The sequence below is a fragment of the Homo sapiens genome, chromosome 10, assembly GCF_000001405.40.
Source record: "Homo sapiens chromosome 10, GRCh38.p14 Primary Assembly".
Taxonomy (NCBI): domain Eukaryota; kingdom Metazoa; phylum Chordata; class Mammalia; order Primates; family Hominidae; genus Homo; species Homo sapiens.
In genome coordinates this window covers 5948900-5974114 of record NC_000010.11, presented here as the reverse complement: position 1 = coordinate 5974114, position 25215 = coordinate 5948900, and the positions used below count along the sequence as shown (strand labels likewise).

The window sequence follows — 25215 nt, the reverse complement described above, 5'->3', positions numbered from 1 at the left end:
GGCAGGAGAATCGCTTGAACCCTGGAGGCAGAGGTTGCGGTGAGCAGAGATCGCGCCACTGCACTCCAGCCTGGGACACAGAGCGAGACTGTCTTTTTTTTTTTTTCTGACTCTGTCTTATGTATAAAAAATTGAATTGTATCATTACTGAATTTTGAGAGTTCTTTATATATTCTGGATACGAGGCCCTAATCAGGTATATGATTTGCAAATATTTTCTCAGATTCTGTGGCTTATCCTTTCTCTTAGCAGTGTCTTTTGAAAAGCAGAAGTTTTTAATTTTTATGAAGTCTAATTTATTAATTTGTTATGTTGTGTTTTGGGCTTTTGGTGTCATATCTAAGAAATATTTGCCTAGCCTAAGGTTACAAAGGTTTACTTCTATGTGTTCCTCTAGAAGTTTTATAGCTTTAGGGTTTACATTTATGGCTGTGATCCATTTTGAATTAATTTTTGTTTATAATGTGAGGCATGAATTAAAGGTTGTTTTGGGATTTTGTTTGTTTCTATATATGCATATCCAATTATTCCAGCACCCTTTATTGAAAAGATTATCTTCACTGACCTTCTCTTATACCTTTTGAACATCAGTCAGCCATATGTGTCTAAGTTGGTTGCAGTATACAAAACACCACTACACAAAAATCAGTTCTATTTCTATACATTCACAATGAACAATTAGAAATTAAAAAACTTTAAAAAGTCATTTGAAATAACATTAAAAAGCATTAGATACTTACGGATAAATCTAACAAAAGATGTGAAAGACATCTTTCATATATGGAAAACTACAAAGCATTGCTTAGAGAAATTAAGGAACAAAATCAATGGAGAGATATACCATGTTCATGGGTTGGACAAATCAATATCACTAAGGTGCAAAGTCTCCTTCTTGTGCTACTATGCACAACAAGTTGTTGCCAGTCTGTTCTTATTTAAAAGGCCTGATGTGCAGGGGCGTCCATTATGTTGGGTAGAAGGTCACTGACTTCTTAGAGAGCATTTCAGTCTGAAAGATTGCGGGCGATGGCCAGAAGCAACTGAGAAGACTGCTTTGTTTGAAGACAAATATCCCTAGCCACCAATTTCAGTTCGCTTTTTTTATGTAAGGTGTAAGTGCACTTGGGGTTGTTTTCACAACTTTTCATGTGTCTTTAAGTATTTTTAAGCCATTTTTCAGAACTTTAGGGGTCTTTTCCCAAACCTTTTATTTTTTATTTCCTATCCATTTTATCTAGTTGTTACTGCTTCTTTGCCTCTACTGATAGCAAAAAAGTGGTGAAAACGTGAGTGTATAAAACATGAGATTTGTCAAAATCAACATAAATTTTAAACAGCGGAGGACTGAGTAAATAAAATGGAGTTGTTTTCAAGTAGTAGACATCATATGATTCATTTTTTTACTAGAAGAAGATCAAGAAGTAGTTGTCATTGAATGGGGAAGATGTCATGTGTTGGTCATATGTGGGCATGTATGCAGTTGTCTGCCCTTTCTTATTTTTCTGCCATAATTTGAATTGTTTTGTAATAAGAAAAGTAAATAAATAAAATTACAAAAGAAATAGCACAATTAAGATCCAGAATTTTGGAGTTTTTTCTAATTCATCTTTAATTATAGCTGATCTTGTCTGGCAATGTTTTCATGACTTTACGAAAGCTTGTCCAACTCACAAACACTTGTCCACTGCATTCCAGCCTGGGCGACAAAGCGAGACTCTGTCTCAAAAATAACAATAAAAATAATAACAGTAATAATAATATGTATCTAAATGAATAAATATATATGAAACTCCTCAGTATATATCGTGGGAGTCATATCAGTGTTGCTCATTGGACATAGTTGATGTGATTTGAATGCTTCTTCTTGGAAAGGCATGATTCCCTTCTGTGCAGTGGGGAGTCCCTGAGGGTTTCTGTGCAGGGGAGCATTACTGGAGCTGCATGGTGGAAAGGTTGCTCTTGTTCAGAGTGTGAAGAATGAACTGTAGTCAGGAGACTCCAGAGAATAGGAGCTGCATTGAGGTTTTTGAAATCGTTCTGGTGGGTGGTGATGAAATCCTGAACACAGGCGGTGTCAATGCAGGAGACAGAAGAGGCCAGATGTCTTCTCGAGTCCTAAAACTATAGAATGTATTTCATTACTTTCCTTTCATTTGCTCTTCAACCTGTAGCCCTCAACTCTTGCAAGACTCCAATAATCATTATTTAAGGATTCGAGTTATGGAGAAATTCACCTGGCACACAAGAGGTGGGTCAGGAAGCTCAGTTAATGAGTCTGAGAGAGAAAGAAAAGAATTGCCAAGTTTCAGGCAGTGAGCTGGAGACAGTCTGTACTTTTTGGGAACTCCAAAAGGAAGTGTGTTGACTTGGCTGACATTTCAGCGGGGAAAATAAGGAAGGAAGGTGATGGGTGACTGTGAGGCCAGAGGCCTTTGCCTTTTCCGTACACCAGCTCCACAGTGAGCATCCTGAGGGCAGGAACCATATCTGACACATCTCTGAATCCTACCACCCTTAGCTCGTGCAGGCATTTGAAAGGTGCTGTAAGCGAGGGGAATGTTGGAGTCCATTCTGACTCTGCTCACAGGATTGGGAGCCACGCTAACCCGACAACCTCTGAACTCTGGATATGGAACCAGGCCGAGGCTGCCAGCTCTTATTAGACTCTGTAAACCAACCTGATAGATAAGGAAGTGTGATTCACAGGTTCTGGGAAACAGAAAGAGGTGTGGCCTCATACACTATTTTGGTGACTTCATTTAAATGATCGTTAGGACTTGTTGTATATGTTTTTTGGCTACTTCAGAGTTTTGAAAGTCCTAGAGCCATAAGTTTACTCCAATTTCCATTACTTCATAATTCCATTATATGTATTCAGAAAATATCTATCGTATACCAGCCGTAGGAAAGTGAGAGTACCACAGAACTGTGAAATATACATACCATCTGCAAGGAGCTTATAATATTGTAAACAAGGTGAGACTTGTTTACATTGAATAACTAGGGAACAATGTTATGAGAGAATATATAGAAAGTATAATTCAAGTATCTAAAGATGTGATTAAGGCATGTGGAAATGAAGTTATTGCTTCAATTAAATGTATTATCTCTGGAGGACGGCTTGAGTTCAGGAGTTTGAGACCAGGCTGGGCAACATGGTGAGACCCCATCTCTAGGAAAAAAAAAATTAGCCAGGTATGGTGGCATGTGCCTCTAGTCCCAGCTACTCGGGAGGCTGAGGCAGGAGGATTGCTTAAGGCCAGGAGTTTGAGGCTGCAGCGGGGCATAATCATGCCATTGTGCTCTAGCCTGGGTGACAGAGCTAGACCCTGTCTCAAAATAAAATAAAATAAAATAAAATAAAATAAAATAAAATAATAATGAAATAAAATAAAATCATTTTAAAAATAAAATAATAAAATGAAACAGTGTTAGTAATATCACCAATATAGTTATGAGACAGTCCAACTTTATAAAGTAAGTAACTGGCCACCATTTGCCTGGTTGGATTGGCTGTAGTACATTGATATCCTTGTACATTCAAACATTAACTATTCACAGATTTATCTTGGTTTGAGGACCGTTCAGAATGGAAGAACCACTGATAGACTTCCTTTCTCAGCAAAATGACAGAGTAGATACCAAAAAACCCTCCTGCTACAAAAACACCCAGAAATGATAAATAATATAGTGCAAATGCCTTTTAAAATCCTGAGCTGATAAACAATAATCAACTGTTTAAAGCAAAATAATAACAATGTGTCATGGGGTATAACATATGTCAAAGCAAAACATAGAACAATAGCACAAGGGCTTGGGGGAGAGACTGGAAGTCTGCTGTTTCAGATCTTTACAGGATATGTATGTGGTGGTATAACATCACCGGAAGGAAAACTGTGATAAGGTAAAGATATATAGTGGACACCCTAAAACAACCACTAAACTAGTACAACGAGTTATAGTTAATAACCAACAAAGGAGATAAAATGGAATCATAAAACATACTCAGAGAATCTATGATGTGATCATCTCCATAGGAAATCATATGGAATCTACAAAGCTGCTATTAGAATAAGTGAGTTTACAAGGGTGCAGAATACAGAGTCAAGACACCAAAAAATCAATATGCAAAATACTAGCAACAAACAATAAGAAATCGAAATAAATATCATACCATTTGCAGTGACATAAAAAATATGAAATACTTAGGGATATGTCTGACAAAAGATGTACAAGGCTGGCACGCTGAAAATTATAAAACATTTCTGGAGAAATTGCAGAATTCTTAAATAAATCAAGAGAGATACCGTGTTGATGGGTTTTTAAGAAGACTCAATATTATTAAGATATCAATTCTTCCCCAAACTGATCTTTAAATTTAATGAATTCCAATCAAAATTTTAGCAGGCTTTTGTTGGTAGACATTGATACACTGTTTGTTAAATTCAGTAGGCCAGGCGGGGTGGCTCACGCCTGTAATCCCAGCACTTTGGGAGGATCCCTTGAACCCAGGAGTTTGAGACCAGCCTGAGCAACATAGCAAGACCTCATCTCTACAAATTAAAAAAATAATAACTAGCTGGGCATGGTGGTGCACATCTGTGGTCTCAGGTACTCAGGAGGCTGAGGTGGAAAGATCACTTGAGCTTAGGCAGCTGAGGCTGCAGTGAGCTATGATCATGCCACTGCACTCCCCGCTGGGAGACAGAGTGAGACTCTATCTTGGAAAAATTTAATTTAATTTAATTTAATTTAATTTAAAAAATTTAATTTAAAAATTTTAATTTTAAAAATTTAATTAAATTAAAAAATTTAATTTAAAAATTTTAATTATAAAATTTTAATTAAATTTAAAAATTTAATTTAAAAAATTAATTTAATTTAATTTAAAAACAAAAAAACAGTAAAGGATCTAGAAAAGCAAACTCAGCTTTGAAAATGATTAGCACAGTAGGAGGACTTATACTACCTGACTTTAAGACCTATGACAAAGCAACAATAATCAAGGCAGCACGGTATTGGTGTCAAAACAAACAGACACATAGATCGATGGAATCGATTGGTGAGTCAGCCAGAAACACACACAATACACTTAGTCCTTGCTCAGGATCCTACACAAACAGCCCTGGAGGTCCACGGCTGCTGGAAATGGGCAGGGAACACTTCCTGTACAAAACCTGTTACAGATGCAAGAGACAGGCTGGCTGTCCTGGCGGGAAGGAGCAGAATATCTGAAAGCTTCAACCATGAGGTCCAGACACACGAGGCCTGCGTGAGACTCAGGACAATGGAAAACTGCCCCCAGTGCCACCACCATCGGACAAGCAGGCAGCAAGCAGGTAGCACAGCCATCTATCATGGAGGGCAGGATGGGGTGGGCAAGTGTGGAGAAATAACACTCTGTGGTTTAGGCAGGTAGAGAAGGACAGAAGATCAGTGTGGAGCAGAACATGGAGAAAAAGCCTCTGACACTCCAGCACCAGATAGCACCAGAGGCCTCAAAGCCAGTGGGGCTCTGCAGGTAACCATAGCAACAGCAGCATCCAAATCCACCTCAACAACTTGTGAGATCGACTCCATCTCTCACGCCATCAGCTTAGCAGAAGATGTGTCCTCATTGGAATGGGGAGTAGTGGCGGCCACTGGACAATAGATGCCTGAGACAGGAAGTGAGCAGAGCGCTGCCCCTGTGACAGAGGAGAAGGCTTTGGGATGGGAGTTGAATGGAAAGAACAATCTTGAATTTGAGATTTCTCCCCTCCCACCCTGCCCCCAGCCTGCCTGGTACAGGATCCTTCAGAAGCAAGAGCAGAGGTCATGGAATTCTAACAGGGATGTGTTAGTGAGGTTTGGGATGTTTTTGTGTGGACTTAGGTGATGGCTCTCTTGTGACTCACCCACTGTGTCCTTTGCCCAGTTAGGCCATTAGGGTATTTGTCTTGTGTTGATTTTTATAAGAATTCTCTCCGTGCTAAGGTTCTTAACACTTTGGCATTTGTTGCTAATGTTTTTTGTTTGGTTGGTTTGTTGGTTTTTGGGGGGTTTTCTGTTTGTTTGAGACAGATTCTTGCTCTGTCACCCAGGCTCGAGTGCAGTGGCACAATCTTGGCTCACTGCAACCTCCGCCTCTCAGGTTCCTGTGATTCTCCTGCCTCAGCCTCCTGAGTAGCTGGGATTACAGGCGCCCACCACCACATCCAGCTAATTTTTTGTATTTTAGTAGAGACGGGCTTTCACCATGTTAGCCAGGCTGGTCCTGAACTCCTGACCTCAGGTGATTCGCCTGCCTCAGCCTCCCAAAGTCCTCGGATTACAGGCGTGAGCTACCGCACCCAGCCTATTCTTTATCGAATTTACTTCCGGCCACACTTGCACTTTTCCAGGGGCATGTACCAACAACTGTAACTAAACAACACCTGTCACTTCCAACAGAGCTGAGCTGTGTCCATTGGTTCATCCACTCTCTCTCCAATGCACTATATCCTGGGAATGGAAAGCATTCCAAAATGTATGAATGACCAACCAGAGCTGAAAGCAACAGCAGCCTTTGGGAAAATGATGCTTCATGGGGAATAAGGTGTCTTTGCAGTTGCAAAGGAATGATCTGATCTTGGCCGGGTGCGGTGGCTCACACCTGTAATCCCAACACTTTGGGAGGCCAAAGCGGGATGATCACAAGGTCAAGAGATCAAGGCCATCCTGGCCAAAATGGTGAAACCCTGTCTCTACTAAAAATACAAAAATTAGCTGGGTGTGGTGGTGTGCACCTGTAGTCACAGCTATTCAGGAGGCTGAGGCAGGAGAATCGCTTGAACCCAGGAGGTGGAGGTTGCAGTGAGCCAAGATCGTGCCACTGCACTCCAGCCTGGTGACAGAGTGAAACTCCGTCTCAAAAAAGAAAGGCAAGGCAAGGTAAGGCAAGGTAAGGCAAGGCAAGACAAGGCAAGGCCCGATCTTGCAAGTACTGCCAAGCTAACACACACATGTGCACACACAAGGGAGTGGATTTTTGAGATGGAGGTGGGAGAATTTGATCCAGTTAAAAACTATTAGAATAGAAATTCAGGGCCTGGCATGGTGGCTCACACCTGTAATCCCAGCACTTTGGGAGGCCGAGGCGGGCAGATCATTTGAGGTTAGGAGTTCAAGACCAGCCTGGCCAACTCCCAGGCTAGAGTGCAGTGGTGTGATCGTGGCTCACTGCAACCTCTGCCTCCCAGGTTCAAGCAATTCTCCTGCCTCAGCCTCCCCAGTAGCTGGGATTACAGGCGCCTGCCACCACGCCCGGCTAATTTTTTGTATTTTTAATAAAGATGGGGTGTCACCATGTTGGCCAGGCTCAAAGATGCATTTCTAAAGGTGATGCTGGCCGCAGAGACCTGTGGGAGAGCCTGCAGGGGGCCTATCTGGAGGCACTTGCTGTCGTTCAGTGAGAATTGGAGGCTGGGTCCACGGTGGAGAGGGGTGAAGACTTTAAGAGAGACTGAGGGCTTGGAGAGGGGTGGGAAATGAAGGGAGAGGGTGTTTCATCGATGACCCTCTCCCCACGCCCTCATCTGTAGTTTTGCTGGCTGACTGGCACTTCAGGCGAGGCTCCAGGAAGGCTTCTGGGTGAGGATGCTCTTCCTGTACATCCTCCACGTGCCTGGCACCTGGGGCTTGTCCTGAGGCACCCCTAGGATAAGCTGGACACTGACTACCGCTGCGTGTGCCTGGAGAACGCCTCTTACAAGTGGAAACCTCTTCACCGTCCCCTGTCCTCTGCACTTTCGCAGGCATCACGTGCCCTCCCCCCATGTCCGTGGAACACGCAGACATCTGGGTCAAGAGCTACAGCTTGTACTCCAGGGAGCGGTACATTTGTAACTCTGGTTTCAAGCGTAAAGCCGGCACGTCCAGCCTGACGGAGTGCGTGTTGAACAAGGCCACGAATGTCGCCCACTGGACAACCCCCAGTCTCAAATGCATTAGTGAGTAGCCCTTGCCACCCCACCTTCCTCCCTCCCCCACCCTGCCAAGGCTGCACAGAGAGAAGACCCCATCTCAGGGGTCAAGGGATCTGTGCTGAGGTCTGAGGCTAAACACACCAGTGGGGGCCGGGCACGGTGGCTCACACCTGTAATCCCAGCACTTTGGGAGGCCGAGGCGGGAGGATCACTTGAAGTCAGGAGTTCCAGATCAGCCCGGCCAACATGGTGAAACCCCGTTTCTACTAAAAATACAAAAAGTAGCCGGGCGTGGTGGCAGGCGCCTGTAATCCCAGCTACTTGGGAGGTTGAGGCAGGAGAATTGCTTGAACCCGGGAGGTAGAGGTCACAGTGAGCCGCGATCACACCACTGCACTCCAGCCTGGGTGACACAGCAAGACTCCATCTCAAAAAAGAAAGAAAAAAAGAAAGACACCAGTGTGATCCTCAGCAACAGCTCCTGGCGTTGGAAACACACAGGTGCTGGGGTCACAGGATTCTGGGTTTAAATCCTGGCTTTGCCGCCTACCACCCAGGAGGCCTTGGGCAGCTCTTGTGATATTCTGGCACTCTGGCTGGTCATCTGGAAAACGGACTTGATATCCACACTGCGGGCTGTGGGAGGGTGGCGTGAACCCTGGTAAATATTAACTCTTATTACATGTAGTGCTTTGATTTGAGACGATGCTGGCAGGAGAATTTGGCTGCAGAGCTGGGCGGGCACTCATGAGCACGCTAGTGTGAGAAATGTTTGGATTTCCCATGAGAAGGTGGATGTTGGAAGCCATCACTGCTCCTCTCTCAGTACCCAGCCCCGGGGATGGGCACAGGCCCTGGAGCAGGGCTGCCCTTTGCTCAGTCACCTGTGCATGGTGTCCAGCAGGGGTGAGGGAAGGTGGCAAGAATCAACTTTTTTTTTTAACTGTCTGCACCTGGATAAACGTCCCAGAAGCAGCCAAACCATCTCGGGTGGGAACCACTTGGAGCTGTTTCTGGAACACTCAGGCCCACCTCTGCAGGCTTCTCTCCTTCCCCAGTTCATCTCTGGGGCAGGGATGAGCGCGCCCCTGCATGGAGCGGCCCCATAGCTCACGCCCTCTGCAGCAGGGGACAGAGGGGAGCTCCTTGAGGCGCTGGACATTGCCACTGGCTTGGTAGTGGTAGCTCAGCCTCCTCCCCCAGAACAGAGCGAGTCACACAGGCAGCAGAGGGAAGGCAGGGAGGAAGCCTCCGACTTGTTCCAAGAAATCACTCGCTGGGGACACAGCACCCCGTGGCATCAGTGAGTGAATGGGAAAGCTGAGCGTGGCGGGGTGAGCAGGATCTGTGGGAACCACGGTGGGTCTTACTCTGCCAGTCCTGGGACTCCCTGGAACCTGTCTGCCCGAGGTAAAATGAGGGCTTTCTCACTGCAGGGCAAGTCAGGTCTCCTCGACACTCCATGTCCTTTGGGCAAATGAATCCGGGATGGAGAAGAGCTATGGGCTCCAGGGTCAGGATGGGAGAGGAAAGAAGAGAACCCGGAATCAGGATTTTAGAGTCCAAAGACTGGAGGCCTCTTTAGGTTTCACCTAGCCCAAAGGATCCTTCCACGTTCTGATCACTCACAACTCCCTCTGTTATGCTTCCCAAACTCTTGTGCTTTGAATGACTTTTTTCCTGCTCAACAAGTGAAATGTAAGCCAGGTATGGTGGCTTACACCTGTAATCCCAGCACTTTGGGAGGCCGAGATGGGAGGGATTTCTTGAGACCAGGAGTTCGAGACCAGCCTCAGCAACATAGCAAGACCCTGTCTCTACCAAAAAAATTAAAAGATAAAAATTACCTGGGCATTGAGGCACGTACATGTAGTCCCAGCTACTCAGGAGACTGAGGCAGGAGGATCTCTTGAGCCCGGGAGGTCAAGGCTGCAGTGAGTTGTGATCACACTACTGCACTCCAACCTGGGCAACGGAGCAAGACCCTGTCTCAAACAAACAAAATAGAATCTATTGAGTGATCATTTATTCTCCCAAGAATAACCAGCATTATAAAATTGAATTGATATCATTAATATAATCTCAGCCAAAATAAATTTGATATTTAACTTGTGCAGTCTTTTTGGAAATGCAAGAAAAATAGTTTGCAGTCTATCTTTGCATTCGGGTGGGGAAACATTGTTTCTTATGCTTTTAACCTGTCTGAGGAAGCCAGAGGCCTCCACTGTAAGTTCATGTGTTGATATATTTTATTTGTATCCCGTTCTGAAGCCAGCCCAGGTTCCAGGCTCAGGATCATAAGTGCCATGTGGTTATCCTCTCTCTAGGAGACCCTGCCCTGGTTCACCAAAGGCCAGCGCCACCCTCCACAGTAACGACGGCAGGGGTGACCCCACAGCCAGAGAGCCTCTCCCCTTCTGGAAAAGGTAGGAAGGTCAGAAACTTCTCGAGGACATTCATTCCCTCCCAACACCCAGAGGCCCGCTCACCAATCCTGCAGACTCACGGACCTCTGTGGTGTGCCACTGCAGACTTAGGCAATAGCGCAAACGTCTTATTCAATCAAGAATAAGAACGTCCAACTTAATTTTCTTTTTCAAATCAAAGTTGCTTGATATCCAGGTGTTATATGTGCAGAATTAATAGTGGTTTAAAACTCACTAATATGTCATATCAAATTTAGTTGTAGACACTTATCTTTGTCAAGAACTGAAAGCAGACTGAGGTTTGAGGTTGCATGTGTGTTAGCCCTCAACATTTTCATGGGTGCTGGCAGAAAAGAGGGCACTCCAGGATGGGAGGCCAGCAGGCAGCGGGAGCTTCAGCATGTTTACATCAATTCCCTCGTCCCCTAGCCAGCAGGGGCAGCACAGTTGGGCCTGAACAGATGCCTGTCCACTCAGCGGGCTGCACTGTGGGAGAGGAAGCCTGGGCTTCCGAGACCCAAGCGTTTTGTCATGGGCAGTAATCACACCTGCTCTCTGCTCCAGGGGAGACCATGTCCCCGTCTTCCAAGGCGCTTGCTGTAGAAGCACCCTTGAGAGGATGGTCCAGAGAAAGGGCCATCAGCTCCTCTGTCTGCAAGATGTGCAAAAATGTGAGAGACCTGTGGAGAGCTGCCCCCACCAGACCTAAACACCAGCACATCCCAGTGACTGCTCTATTATAGAGGCGCTGCCTGAAGCTGCCAGTGTCCTGTGTTTCAACAGAGTCTTTGGTGCTTGTCAGGCCCAATTTCCTCAGCGCTTTCTCAGTGTTCAGAAAATTTGAAATCTTGGATGCTTTCTTGGGATCCTCCGCCCTGCATGCTATGATACCTTTGTGCTACAGTTCACTCTTGGCTTTAGTGTTGCATCGTCCAGCCTGTGGCTTTCCCTGGTCCTGTCTACTCCTTTGCCCCCGGGGGGATGGGCCTGTCTGTTGTCATTCATACTACAGGACTCAGCCATCCTTTGCGGAGTGTCAGTTGTCAGCCGTGGGTACACACTGACATCACCTGGGCACTCCAGTTGGCCTGGGTGCAATCTGGGACTCACGCCTCTCCAGCCCCAGGTGGATCTTTTTTTTTTTTTTTTTTGAGATGGGGTCTTGCTCTATTGCCCAGTCTGGAGGGCAGAGGTGAAATCTTGGCTCACTGCAACCTCTGCCTCCCAGGTTCAAGTGATTTTCCTGCCTCAGCCTCCCAAGTAGCTGGGATCACAGGCGTGCACCACCACGCCTGGCTAATTTCTGTATTTTTAGTAGAGACAGGGTTTCACCATGTTGGTCAGTCTGGTCTCAAACTCCTGACCTCAGGTGATCCGCAAGCCTTAGTCTCCCAAAGTGCTGGGATTACAGGTGTGAGCCACTGCACCCAGCCCACAGGTGGTTCTTAAGTGGCCAAGGCTGAGGCCTGCATCTTAAGGGAGGAAGAAGCAGCTAAACAAGGTTCCCTCCTAGTGAGTCACCTGCACAGGGAGGAAGGGGTTGAGGGGCTGGCTCCATTTAAACTTGAAGTAATTCTACAACCCCTTTGATCTGAGTCACACCTGGTTCACCCAAGGAGGAGAATGATCAAGTAGGCTCTCCCAGCCCCACCTTCGCATCCCCAATACCTGGTCCGATGGCCATTGTCGAGACACAATGGTGCAGTCAGAAGCCCCGATGTGACAGCAGCCTTTGACCCGAGCTGGCACGACCGTGGGCACTTGGCTGAGGATGCCTTGGTGCGTCCTGTGCAGGGAGCCCTGGAGCATTGGCAGTGAGCGTAGGGCAAGTTATATGAAAGGTGGTGACACAGGATTAAGGGGCGTGAGGCCTTCTCATGACCTGTGTGGCTGGGAGACCATGGGAACGCGGCAACAACAGTGCGTCCAGAGAGCCACAGCGCTTGGCCTCACGTTTCCTAGATTCCGTGGCTGTCACAATGGAAGACACATTTTTCATGGAGAGGGAACAGCACAGTTACGCCACACCCTTACAGTGCAGGGGCAGCCACCTTCCAGGGAAGGACAAGGAAGACAGGGAAGACGCTGAACACAAGGCAGCCTCTGTTCCTGAGAGCAAGCTCATCAGGACGCTTTCCTCCCACACAGCCCGGAGAGTTCAGGCCAGAGCCCAGGCTTCCCGTGTTTCACACGCAGCCGCTCCGAGCGTCCTCGGCCAGCGCAGCTTCACCTGCTCTCAGCTGAGCCTCCAGCGTTGGGCCTGCCTTCTCTAGTAAACAAGCTGAACGACTCAGATCTTTGACACCTTTTCTTTTCTTCCCCCCACCTTTTTTTTTAAGAGACAGGGGTCTCACTCTGTCCCCCAGGCTAGAGTGCAATGGCTCAATTATAGGTCACTGCAGCCTCAAACTCCTAGGCTAAGGTGATTCTCTTGCCTCAGCCTCTCAGATAGCTGGAACTATAGGCACATGCCCACCACACCTGGATAATTTATCGTTATTCTTATTTTTGTAGAAACAGGGTCTTGCGGCAGGGCACAGTGGCTCTCGCCCGTAATCCCAGCACTTTGGGAGGCCAAGGTGGGTGGATCACCTAAGGTCAGGAGTTTGAGACCGGCCTGGCCAACGTGGTGAAACCCCATCTCTATTAAAAATACAAAAATTAGCTGGGCGTGGTGGTGGACACCTGTAATTCCAGCTACTTGGGAGGCTGAGGCAGGGAGAATTGCCTGAACCCGGAAGGCAGAGGTTGCAGTGAGCTGAGATCGCGCCACTGCACTCCAACCTTGGCAACAGAGCAAGATTCCATCTCAAAAAAAGAAGGAAAAGAAACAGGGTCTTGCTGTGTTGCCCAGGCTGGTCTTAAACTCCTGGGCTCAAGTGATCCTCACACCTCAGCCTCCCAAAGTGTTGGGATTATAGGCATGACCCACTGTGTCTGGCTGATCTTTTCTTTATACGTGCCGTGATAGTAGCCATGTTCTTTAGTGTTTTCACAGGTCCTATGGCCCTTCCAGAGGAACGGCTATGTCACCCTCTCAAGGAGCAGTTGGCTGTGAGAGAGGGAGGGCTGGTCAGGGTGACTCACTATGGCAGCTCCCACATCACCCCGTGCTGCAGCTGAGAGGAGGGGAGTCTGCACACTGATGTTGTCCCTGCCTTGGACTCTCCTACAGAGCCCGCAGCTTCATCTCCCAGCTCAAACAACACAGCGGCCACAACAGCAGCTATTGTCCCGGGCTCCCAGCTGATGCCTTCAAAATCACCTTCCACAGGAACCACAGAGATAAGCAGTCATGAGTCCTCCCACGGCACCCCCTCTCAGACAACAGCCAAGAACTGGGAACTCACAGCATCCGCCTCCCACCAGCCGCCAGGTTAGCACTCGCTTTGCCCCAGGAGAGGTCAGTTCCCCATTGCTGCTTCTGAGATCGGGGCTGAGATCCGGCACAAGGCAGCTTTATACCATCAATCCAAAGTCAGGATTCACTGGGCAGCCTGCTGGCCCCGGCCACCAGCCACGGCGTCCTGGCCTGACCTCTTTCTCCGTGGCTTTCTCTGTGGCTGGGGCAGCTGCAAAAGCAAGCCCACACCCCCCCAAGATGTGACAGGGCCAGCCTTATCACCCGCATGGCAGAGCCTGTGCAGCTGGGAGTGGCATCTGTGCCCTCCTGCAGTAGGAGGTGGTGAAGCTGCCTACAGTCCGGGGCCAGGATCTGTGGAATGGAGGAGCTGAGGGTAATGGGGACCTTCTGTAAGGCTTATCTGATTCTTAAGTGTGGCCAGCACCTCAGTGAGCTACCCTGCTTGTTCTTTGCTAAAATGAGTCTGGTTACGCCAGCCACGAGTCTCCCAGGGTGCTAAGATGGGAGCCAAGCCATGCAGATTTTCTCCTGCTTCATGAGGAACTAGGACCTCTAGGACTCGAGCCGTGATGCTGTCCTCTCTTTTCCGCAGGTGTGTATCCACAGGGCCACAGCGACACCACTGGTAAGTGTGTCCCTTTGTCCGGTATGTTTATGATCAGGGTGACCGCAGTCCCAGGGTGCTGGGTGGTCCTGGCCCAGGCCCGCTGCCCCAGCACAGCCCTGACAGCAGCCCCTTCCACACTCAGAAGGCCTCCATCAGATAATAAGTTAAGTAATAGCTGATTTATGGAATTCTCTGTTTGATGTGCCCATTTTTCTAAATATTGGTAGCTTCTAGCTGTCAGGCTACTGGGGTTGAACCCAGAGAGCTGGCACCCCAAATAAGGGCTCAAGGTCAGCTCTTCACAGCAGGGTGCACCTCTTTTGCATGGAGCATCCAAAACTACAGGTGCTGATGCCAGCACTGACGTTACAGCATCTCTGCCAGAAGCTGCCAATTCCTCTCCAGGGCGTGGCACCGTGCACTTAACAGAGAAGCTGTCCACATTTTCGGTATAAAATGCTACTCTTGGCCAGGCATGGTGGCTCACACCTGTAATCCCAGCAGTTTGGGAGGCCGAAATGGGAGGATTGCTTGAGGCCAGAATTTGAGGCCAGCCTGGTCAACATAGCAAGACCCCATCTCTATTAAAAAAAAAAAAAAAGAAAAAGAAAAAGAAAAAAAGTTAACAAAACAAAATAAAACCAAAAATCTGCTCCTCTTTACAGAAGTCACACGCAATGCTAAGGCTAGGAGAATAGAAAAGAGAACGTGCAAGTGATGATAAGGAGGAAAAGGGGAAAGCGTTTACAAGACTAAAAGAAAAAGCTGAAGGGAGGGGAGGAGAGCTGAGAGAGGAGGGGAGAACAGGAGGAAGAAGGGAAGCAGGCAGGGAGGAAGAACGCAGGTAATGAGAAGAATGCAAGTCATGCTCCAGGCTGACAAGCTTCCAAAGTAACAAAAAACCCAACTGTAATTTGATATGGACAAAAATTATTTTAATCTTCTGTTCATAAATTTTTCTGCTAGAGAATGACTCATATTTTTGTGGTGTCATTTTTACCTGCATCAAACGTCATCTGGGAAAACATCAAGTGACTTTGGACATTTTAGCAGTTAATTGATTAGAATCGTTTAAAAAACAATCAGGCTGGGCGAGGTAGCTCACACCTATAATCCCAGCAGTTTGGGAGGCCGAGGGGGGCTGATCACTGGAGGCCAGGAGTCCCAGACCAGCCTGGACAACATGACAAAACCCCATCTTTACTAAAAATACAAAAAATTAGCCAGACATGGTGGCACATGCCTGTAGTCCCACCTACTCGGGATGCTGAGGTGGGAGAATTGCTGGAACCCAGGAGGCAGAGGTTGCAGTGAGCTGTGATCACACCACTGCACTCTGGCCTGGGCAACAGGACAGGACCCTGTCTCAAAAAAAAGACGAAAAGCAAATCCCATTTCTAACTCAAAAATCCCCTTGCAGGAAGGAAGCAACACTTGCTACCAGATTTCCAGGCATCCTTCCAGAGAGACTGTATAAATAAACATATAGAGGATAAGGAATGCTGGACAGTTGCTTCTTTTCTCCTTTTCTGTACCATGTTTGTTTCCACTTGCTGGTATACCTTGTAGATCCTCCCATATCAGGACACAAAAACCATCTCATCGTTTTTAACAGCTACAGAATATTCCACTGTATGGAATTCCTACCATTAATTTAGCCAACCCCCTATCTGGACATGTGATTGCTACATTCTGTTGTTATCTTACAAACAGCCATTAATTGAAAATCCATAGGTGCAAGAACATCTGTAGGATAAAATCCTACATATAAAGTTCAGGGGTCATTTTTTCTATATACATTTTCCAACAACTATTTGATGATGGGCTATAATCTATAATCTGCTTTTGCTAGTTCATGACTTTTATTAGATTAAAAAATCAGCCGGGCGCTGTGGCTCATGCCTGTAATTCCAACACTTTGGGAGGCCAAGGTGGGCAGATCACTTGAGGCCAGGAGTTCGAGACCAGCCTGGCCAACATAGCAAAACACCATCTCTACCAAAAATACAAAAATTAGCCAGGTGTGGTGGCAGGCGCCTGAAATCCCAGCTACTCAGGAGGCTGAGGTAGGAGAATCGTTTGAACCTGGGAGGGGGAGGTTGCAGTGAGCAAACTCGAGCCGCTGCACTCCAGCCTGGGCAACACAGTGAGATTCCGTCGCAGAAAAAAAAAAAAAAAGAAGAAGAAAAGAAAAAGTTGGCCAGGCGTGGTGGTTCACGCCTGTAATCCCAGCACTTCGGGAGGCTAAGGCAGGCGGATCACGAGGTCAGGAGTTCAAGACCAGCCTGCCTAACATAGTGAAACCCTGTCTCTACTAAAAATACAAAAATTAGCCGGGCATGGTGGCACCTGCCTGTAGTCCCAGCTACTCGGGAGGCTGAGGCAGGAGAATTGCTTGAACACTGGAGCTGGAGGTTGTAGTGAGCTGAGATCACGCCACTGCACTCCAGTTTGGGCAACAAAATGACACTTCATCTCAAAAAGAAAGAAAGAAAGAAAAAGTTGTAGGTAGACTGGACGCAGTGGCTCATGCCTGTAAACCCAGCACTTTGGGAGGCTGAGGCAGGTGGATCACTTGAGGTCAGGAGTTTGAGACTAGCCTGGCCAACATGGTGAAACCCCGTCTCTACTGAAAATACAAAAAATTAGCCAGGCGTGGTGGTGTGTGCCTGTAATCCCAGCTACTCAGAAGGCTGAGGCAGGAGAATCACTTGAGTTCAGGAGGCAGAGGTTGCAATGAGCCGAGATAGTGCCTCTGCACTCCAGTCTAGGTGACAGAGGGAGACCCTGTCTCAAAAAAAAAAAAAAAAAAAATTGCAAGTGAAAAAAAAATGAAATTGGAAGGAAAATGGCACTGTGTGCTATTGTTTCTAAATCTGTGAAGTTGAAGCAAAGTGGGCGTTGTACTGGGGACAGCAGAGGAGGGGTGTGTCCCTGTCTGCTTTTTCAACCCTGGCTTTAGCAGCAGGAATGCTCTCTCCTCATCGCACTCTTGGCTTTGCCCTTGAGGCTCTTACTGCTCCCTCCTGACTTGCTCCGTCCCTGCCCCGTCACCCCAGGCACTCTGCCTGAGAAGGACAAGGATGAGGAGCAGAGGTGTGGGACGACTGGGAGCTGGCACCCTCAGCAGGAAAGAGAATGTGTTTTTGCCTAGACATAGAATCGGGGGAATTGCATGGACCTTAAGAAATGTCCTTAGCAGGAGGCTGGTTGGGAGGCACTTGGATCCCTCTGTAAGAACATCCATGGTAAAGAATTTGTGGTTCGTAGCAATGAATGTGCTTCTGGGTATCTCAGCGTGGTCTCCTCCCTTTCAGTGGCTATCTCCACGTCCACTGTCCTGCTGTGTGGGCTGAGCGCTGTGTCTCTCCTGGCATGCTACCTCAAGTCAAGGTGAGTTGCACTGGATACTCCCTCTGCAAGAGTTAGACTTCCCCATGAGAAAAGAGCTGCACCTGGCCGGGCGCGGTAGCTCACGCCTGGAATTCCAGCACTTTGGGAGGCCAAGGCGGGCAGATCACTTGAGGTCAGGAGTTTGAGACCAGCCTGGCCAACGTGGTGGAACCTCGTCTCTACTAAAAATATGAAAATTAGCTAAGCTTGGTGGTGCACACCTGTAATCCCAGCTATTCGGGAGGCTGAGGCAGGAGAATCGCTTGAACCCGGGAGGCGGAGGTTGCAGTGAGCCAAGATTGCGCCACTGCACTCCTACCTGGGCAACAGAGCAAGACTCTGTCTCAAAAAAAAGAAAAAGAAAAGAGCCCCACCATAGTGATTCCAGAATGCCCCCTCCCAAGAAGGACGCCTTTCCTGGCCATCGGCTCTCACACACCCCTTCTCTAGGAGCCAATGAGTGCCAGAGCCGAGGAGCAGTGAGCTAGGCCCAAGCCCAAGTGCCCCCTACCCCTGCTCATGGTAGAAATGGGGCGGCCAGAGAAAGTGCACCAGGTGGCCAACGCGTGCAGTCCTACCCATTCTTCTTGTGATACCCTCATGAATATATTCTTGAAAGTCCTCATTGAATAGGGGTATGCCTTCTTATAAATATACTGATTCATGTTAGCCTTAATTTTGTATTTCTAATCATTGAAATTCTGCATCTCAGCATTTCTGGCAAAAATATTTCTGCCACTTGCTAACTTTTTTAATTTTTCTCATTTTTTTAATCTTTAGGCAGTATTATTATTCTTTGATTAAAGCCTCAAATGGCATTCTAGCCTTCATTTTGTACTTCTATCAATTAGTAACCAGTATTCCAGCATTCCATACTGATACGGATATCAGATTTGTCCAAACTAAACTTTTAGTTACTATTAATAGTTATAAAACATTCTTTTCTAAATGTGATATCAATATAAAAATTATGTGACCCTGGCTGGGCACGGTAGCTCATGCCTGTAATCCCAGCACTTCGGGAGGCCAAGGCAGGCAGATCGCGTGAGGTCAGGAGTTCGAGACCAGCCTGACCAACATGGAGAAACCCTGTCTCTACTAAAAATACAAAATAAGCAGGCCATGGTGGTGCATGCCTGTAATGCCAGCTACTAGGGAGGCTGAGACAGGAGAATTGCTTGAACCAGGGAGGCGGAGGTTGCAGTGAGCCAAGATCACACCATTGCACTCCAGCCTGGGCAACAAGAGCAAAACTCCATCTCAAAAAAAAAAAAAAATTATGTGACCCTTTGAGCCTAATTTTGACAAAATGCACATTCCATGAAATGCTACTATAAAGTCAAAATGAAAACCAGTATCTAAAACTTCACATAAATCTTCAAAAGCTGTGAATACCATCCCGACCAATAAAAAAGCCATAAACCTTATAAACAGTTGAGAAATTAACAAACATTGATATGTTACTCAAAAATTTGTCCAAAGAATTCAAAAAATGAAAAATGTTGACAAAACAGAAAATGACTTTTAAGACAATTTTCAAAATATCACTATTAATAACTACAGAATTTCCAATATAAAATGCTGAATTTGGAGTTATATTCTTAACCAGTTATAATGAATAAATATATTCACTGAATATATTTTTTAAATGTACATACCATCTCTTTATGAATAATACATTAAAATATATTCTTAAAAAGGATTTGTAAATTTGGTATATACGGCCAATAAATATGTTCATAAGAGGAAAATAGCAATATTTACTGGCTATATGAAAGATATCTCAGTTGGGTATGGTGGCTTATGCCTGTAATCCCAGCACTTTGGGAGGCTGAGGTGGAAGGATTACTTGAGCCTAGCAGTTTGAGACCAGCCTGGACAACATAGTGAGACCCCATCCCCCCACACACAAAAAATCTAATTTTTAAAAAGCTCAAAAAGTAAAATAAATATATCTTTAGGAAGAATTGGCATGGTCGGGCATAGTGGCTCACACCTGTAATCCCAGCACTTTGGGAGGCTGAAGTGCATGCATCGCTTTTTTTGTGACCAGCCTGGCCAACATGGTGAAACCTGATCTCTACAAAAAATACAAAAAGTTAGCTGGGCGTGGTTGTCTGCAGAGGCTGCAGCAAGCCAGCATCACACCACTGCACTCCAGCCTGGGAGACAGAGCAAGAACCTGTCTCAGAAAAAAAAAAAAAAAAAAAGAAGAATTGGTAAATTTGATGAGTGTAATTACTTGGTCATTTGGTGAATTGATTCTTTCCATAAACTTGTTTTTTGCAAATGGGTTATTAGTTAGATTTGCCATTTGACAAATTGGCTGTTAGCAAATTATTGTCAGTGAATTGACCCCCATCCTGCCTTATTTTAGCTCTCACTCCAGGGAGCTCACACTGCTTACCTTAAAATGGCCTAAAGAGCTGCTGCTCCTCCGGAGGGACATTTCACCAGCCCTGGTAGAAGGTGCCGGCCAGATGCCCAGGGCATCAGCACCCAGGCAGCTCCAGACAGGCCAGCCACGTATGACCAGTGTCCTGCCTCGCCTGTGCTTGTCATTCGGGAGCTGATTGATTTGTGTATTTCTTTATTTATTTCACACATACTAAGTGCTAAGAACTGTTTTTAAAAGCTTCATGAATATTAAATCACTTTTTTCAAGATGATCAACTCTGGTTTGGCTAGGCTCCCAGTCACTCTCTCCTTCTCTTGTTCCTGCCATTTGAATGGCTTTTTGGCAGAGGACTGGCAAAGCGTGGGGTGATGGCAGGGTGGCGTAAGTTGCTCCAACAGCACTTGGTGAGTCTTTGGTGGATGGGGAGGTTGGAAATACCTGGAGAGGATTTATTCTCATCATATTGTCCTGGTTGGTCTTGAACTTCTGGGCTCAAGCGATCCTCCCACGACAGCCTCCTAAAGTGCTAGGATTACAGGCATGCGCCACCACACCTGGCCCCTAGATAGGATTTAATACACTCGGTAGAGGTAGGCATTCTAGGTTCTCTCCATCTCTGAGGACTAAGTGCTCTCTGTCTGACTCCCGTGGCAGGGCCTCTGTCTGCTCCTGCCATCCCCGCAGTGCTGGACATACATGCTCAGTGGGAAGCGTCTGTTGATTTGAGGGCAACCCCCTCCTCTTTTCAAAACCTATGAACCACCTGCTTTGCAGGCAAACTCCCCCGCTGGCCAGCGTTGAAATGGAAGCCATGGAGGCTCTGCCGGTGACTTGGGGGACCAGCAGCAGAGATGAAGACTTGGAAAACTGCTCTCACCACCTATGAAACTCGGGGAAACCAGCCCAGCTAAGTCCGGAGTGAAGGAGCCTCTCTGCTTTAGCTAAAGACGACTGAGAAGAGGTGCAAGGAAGCGGGCTCCAGGAGCAAGCTCACCAGGCCTCTCAGAAGTCCCAGCAGGATCTCACGGACTGCCGGGTCGGCGCCTCCTGCGCGAGGGAGCAGGTTCTCCGCATTCCCATGGGCACCACCTGCCTGCCTGTCGTGCCTTGGACCCAGGGCCCAGCTTCCCAGGAGAGACCAAAGGCTTCTGAGCAGGATTTTTATTTCATTACAGTGTGAGCTGCCTGGAATACATGTGGTAATGAAATAAAAACCCTGCCCCGAATCTTCCGTCCCTCATCCTAACTTTCAGTTCACAGAGAAAAGTGACATACCCAAAGCTCTCTGTCAATTACAAGGCTTCTCCTGGCGTGGGAGACGTCTACAGGGAAGACACCAGCGTTTGGGCTTCTAACCACCCTGTCTCCAGCTGCTCTGCACACATGGACAGGGACCTGGGAAAGGTGGGAGAGATGCTGAGCCCAGCGAATCCTCTCCATTGAAGGATTCAGGAAGAAGAAAACTCAACTCAGTGCCATTTTACGAATATATGCGTTTATATTTATACTTCCTTGTCTATTATATCTATACATTATATATTATTTGTATTTTGACATTGTACCTTGTATAAACAAAATAAAACATCTATTTTCAATATTTTTAAAATGCATTAAGAGAATCACCAAGGAGAAATGTTCCACATAAAGGAGGAGAAAGAGTAGGAAGGCAGAGTCCAAGGTGACTGAGTTCAGGTGTTCTTTCCAGAAGGAGAAAAAGCCTTGCCTAAAGCTGGCTCCGGTCACAGTTTTGGGGAATTTCCCACAATTCCATGTGAGGAGAAGCAGCATTATCTAATCCACACAGTGGCAAGTCTGGGCTCAGCTCCCCAGTGGTATACACATCGTCTCTTCCCTTCTTCTTCTCTTACTTTCTTTGCTGTTTTTGACATTTATTTCTAAAATCATGGGCCTAACCCCACCTCCTCATTTTATAGATGAGAAATTGAGGACTGGAGAAATTGTTCTGCCTGCAGCCATGAAGCTTGGTTAATGCCAGAGCTGGATCAGAGCAGGAGCTGGGACACTGGGCGCAGTGACTCACACCTGTGATCCCAGCACTTCAGGAGGCCGAGGCAGGAGGATTGATCGAGCCCAGGAGTTCAAGAACACCCTGGGCAACATAGTGAGACCCCATCTCTATAAAAAAAATTTTTTTCTTGAAGCAGTCTTGCTCTGTCACCCAGGCTGGAGTGCAATGGCGAGATCTCAGCTCACTGCAGCCTCTGCCTTCCAGGTTCAAGCAATTCTACCTCAGCCTCCCAAGTAGCTGGAACTACAGGCATGTGCCGCCACACCCTGCTAATATTTATATTTTCTTAGTAGAGATAGGGTTTTGCTATGTTGGCCAGACTGGTCTCAAACTCCTAATCTCAAGTGATTCACTCACCTCGGCCTCCTAAAGTACTGGGATTACAGGCGTGAGCCACGGCGCCCAGCCAAAATTTTTTTAAAAAACAAAAGTAATAAGAAGTGTAGGTGGGGCGGGAGGGGAGCAGTCCTGGCTGAAAACCAGCCACCAACTGCCCCTTGTACAGCCAGGGGGAAGAGGGAGCCACTGTGAGCATTTGGGAGATGGGGCATGGGCATAGTGCCCAATCCACATGTCATCAGACATTCTCAAAGTGCCATTTTTCACTGACTTCTTTTTTTGTGGGGGAGGGGACAGAGTCTCACTGTGTCACCCAGGCTGGAGTGCAGTGATGCAATCTTGGCTCACTGCAACCTCCGCCTCAAGCAATTCTCATGCCTCAGCCTCTGGAGTAGCTGGGACTACAGGCACAGGCACACACCACAACACCTGGCTAATATTTTTTTTTTTTTTTTTTTTTTTTTTTTTTTTGAGACTGAGTCTTGCTCTGTCGCCCAGGCTGGAGTGCAGTGGCACAATCTCGGCTCACTGCAAGCTCCGCCTCCTGGGTCCATGCCATTCTCCTGCCTCAGCCTTCCCGAGTAGCTGGGACTACAGGTGCCCACCACCATGCCCGCCTAATTTTTTGTATTTTTAGTAGAGCCAGGGTTTTGCCATGATGGCCAGGATGGTCTCTTGAACTTGTGAGCCCAAGCAGTCTGCCTGCCTCGGCCTCCCAAAGTGCTGGGATTACAGGCATGAGCCACCACACCTGACCATTTTTTTCACCGATATCTGCCTGCCTTCAGCTTAGATGCCTTCATCAAAATCAGAGGAGGCTTCTCCACGTGGCTGCTTGGGCTTCCTCACAGCACGGTGGGCTCAGGCTAGTCACACTGGCTGAAAGAACATAGAAACTGCCAGGCCCCTGACAGGCTGGTCCAGACACTGGCACGCATCACTTTTGTGGCATTCTATCCGTCGAAGCGAGTCACAAGGCTGGCCCAGGTTCAAGCGGCCAGGAATGATGAAAGGGAAGGAAGGAATCAACACAGGTCCTTTGGCACCCATCCACTGTACCTTTCAGGGCCATCAGGAAGTGCAATTGCCTTTCAGTCCTCAGCACTCAGTAAATGCCAGCAAATATTTGGGTGAATGAATGGGCAGAATGACCAGGAGGTCAGCATCTGCCAGGTGCTGGGAAGAGTCCGTCCTTTTTTATTTTTATGTTGAAATGGAAAGAGTACACAGAACTCTGAAGGGTGATGGGAGCACCGTATTCTAAATCTCAGCATCACACAATATACCCGTGTAACAACCTGTACATGTTCTCCTGAGTCCAAAATAAAAAAAGAAAGTTCTATAGCTGTGAGGCCTTCAGTCCCCACGTCTTCAGCTGCCACAAGTCTAAATGATTCACATCTCCTCCTCTTCTCTCCTTCCCTGCCCTACACATTTGCCTTGAAGAAAAAGGATTACTCTTCACCTTTTATATTTTGCCTTGATTTTTCTTGATCAAGAAATAAGACTTTTTTTTTGAGACAGAGTCTTGCTCTGCTGTCCAGGCTGGAGTGCAATGGTGCAATCTCAGCTCACTGCAACCTCCACCTCCTGGGTTCAAGTGATCCTCCTGCCTCAGCCTCCCAAGTAGCTGGGATTACAAGCGTACACCACCACACCTGGCTAATTTTTGTATTTTTGGCAGAGACAGTGTTTCACCATGTTGGCCAGGCTGGTCTCGAACTCCTGACCTCAGGTGATCCAACCGCCTCAGCCTCCAAAGTGCTGGGATTACAGGCTTGAGCCACCGTGCCTGGCAAGAAATAAGACTCTTAACTCCCCCCACCACTTTTTTAAAACCACTTACGTTCTTTATTCCCTTGTATAGATGCAGATTTCCATTTTCTTCCTGCCTAACTTTTTAAAATATATCTTGTGGTGTGACTTTCCCCGTTTAAACCCTTCTTCAGACATTAGGAAGTGGGAGAGCAGGGATCAAAAGACACCCTGTTTCTCACTGCTCACCCCCCTGTTCCCCAAGGACTTCTTCCTCTTGGCTGAGGCTGCCACCTCCTGGCTTGGAATTTCACAGCACAGAGCGGACTCCCCGAGTACTGCGGGTTTGTCTCACCCCAGGGCTGTGCTCCTTGCAGGCAGGACCAGCCCGACCCAAATCACAGCCTCCCCCACCTCACACTGCTAGGCACTAATCAGAACTCAATGTGTGCATATTTTAGGTAATATTAGGCACTATATTACCGGGGGATTTAATTGACACTTTACTTCCCTAAGTGACTGTAAATCCACCCATTCTAGTGGTGCTGTTCTTAGCTATTCAGGATGAAACACCTCCTCCTCTCCTGAAACCGTCCGTCCCTCATCCTGACTTGCAGCTCACAGAGAAAAGTGACATACCTGAGGCTCTCTGTCAATTACAAGGCTCCTCCTGGCGTGGGAGATGTCTATAGGGAAGACACCAGCGTTTGGGCTCCTCCCAATGACCCTGTCTCCAGCTGTGCTGCACGCACTGACAGGGAGCCGGAAAAGGTGGAGGAGATGCTAAGCCCAGTGAATCCTCTCCATCGAAGGATTCAGGAAGAAGAAAACTCATCTCAGCGCCATTTTACATATATATGCATTTATACTTCCTTGTCTGTTATATCTACACATTATATATGATTTGTATTTTGACATTGTGCCTTGTATAAACAAAATAAAATATATATTTTCAATA

General features: G+C 46.9%; 1 protein-coding gene and 1 long non-coding RNA gene across 40 annotated transcripts in view, besides 2 other annotated features; one reads left to right on the top strand and one right to left on the bottom strand.

Annotated features, from left to right (window-relative positions):
- Window positions 1-25215, top strand: part of IL15RA (interleukin 15 receptor subunit alpha) — a 29842-nt gene extending 4627 nt beyond the window's left edge. For 3 of the 39 annotated variants that reach the window (XM_011519464.3, XM_047425185.1, XM_011519467.3), the window contains 6 exons: window positions 7776-7970; window positions 10274-10372; window positions 13548-13748; window positions 14329-14361; window positions 17661-17736; window positions 24875-25215. In XM_011519464.3, coding sequence (XP_011517766.1) covers window positions 7776-7970; window positions 10274-10372; window positions 13548-13748; window positions 14329-14361; window positions 17661-17736; window positions 24875-25160 — 890 coding nt within the window. In that variant the 3' untranslated portion in view covers window positions 25161-25215. Of the gene's footprint in view, window positions 1-5186; window positions 5340-5411; window positions 5522-7775; window positions 7971-10273; window positions 10373-13359; window positions 13445-13547; window positions 13749-14328; window positions 14362-17660; window positions 17737-20788; window positions 21745-24797 lie in introns of those variants that run through there. The other 36 variants (XM_011519461.3, XM_011519462.3, XM_011519465.2 and 33 more) reach the window with 25 other exon arrangements.
- On the bottom strand, window positions 51-13360 carry LOC107984200 (uncharacterized). Its single transcript, XR_001747348.2, has 3 exons — window positions 12041-13360; window positions 9794-9931; window positions 51-2121 (listed from the first exon to the last, which is right to left on the bottom strand). It is a non-coding gene; the product is annotated as an uncharacterized LOC107984200 (long non-coding RNA).
- Window positions 8644-9143: an enhancer, noted in NCBI's record as "H3K4me1 hESC enhancer chr10:6006935-6007434 (GRCh37/hg19 assembly coordinates)". NCBI's record gives its function as "activates a minimal SCP1, AML or CMV promoter by ChIP-STARR-seq in primed H9 embryonic stem cells {active_cell/tissue: H9 hESC(primed)}" and the evidence as "EXISTENCE:reporter gene assay evidence [ECO:0000049][PMID:30033119]".
- Window positions 9144-9645: an enhancer, noted in NCBI's record as "H3K4me1 hESC enhancer chr10:6006433-6006934 (GRCh37/hg19 assembly coordinates)". NCBI's record gives its function as "activates a minimal SCP1, AML or CMV promoter by ChIP-STARR-seq in primed H9 embryonic stem cells {active_cell/tissue: H9 hESC(primed)}" and the evidence as "EXISTENCE:reporter gene assay evidence [ECO:0000049][PMID:30033119]".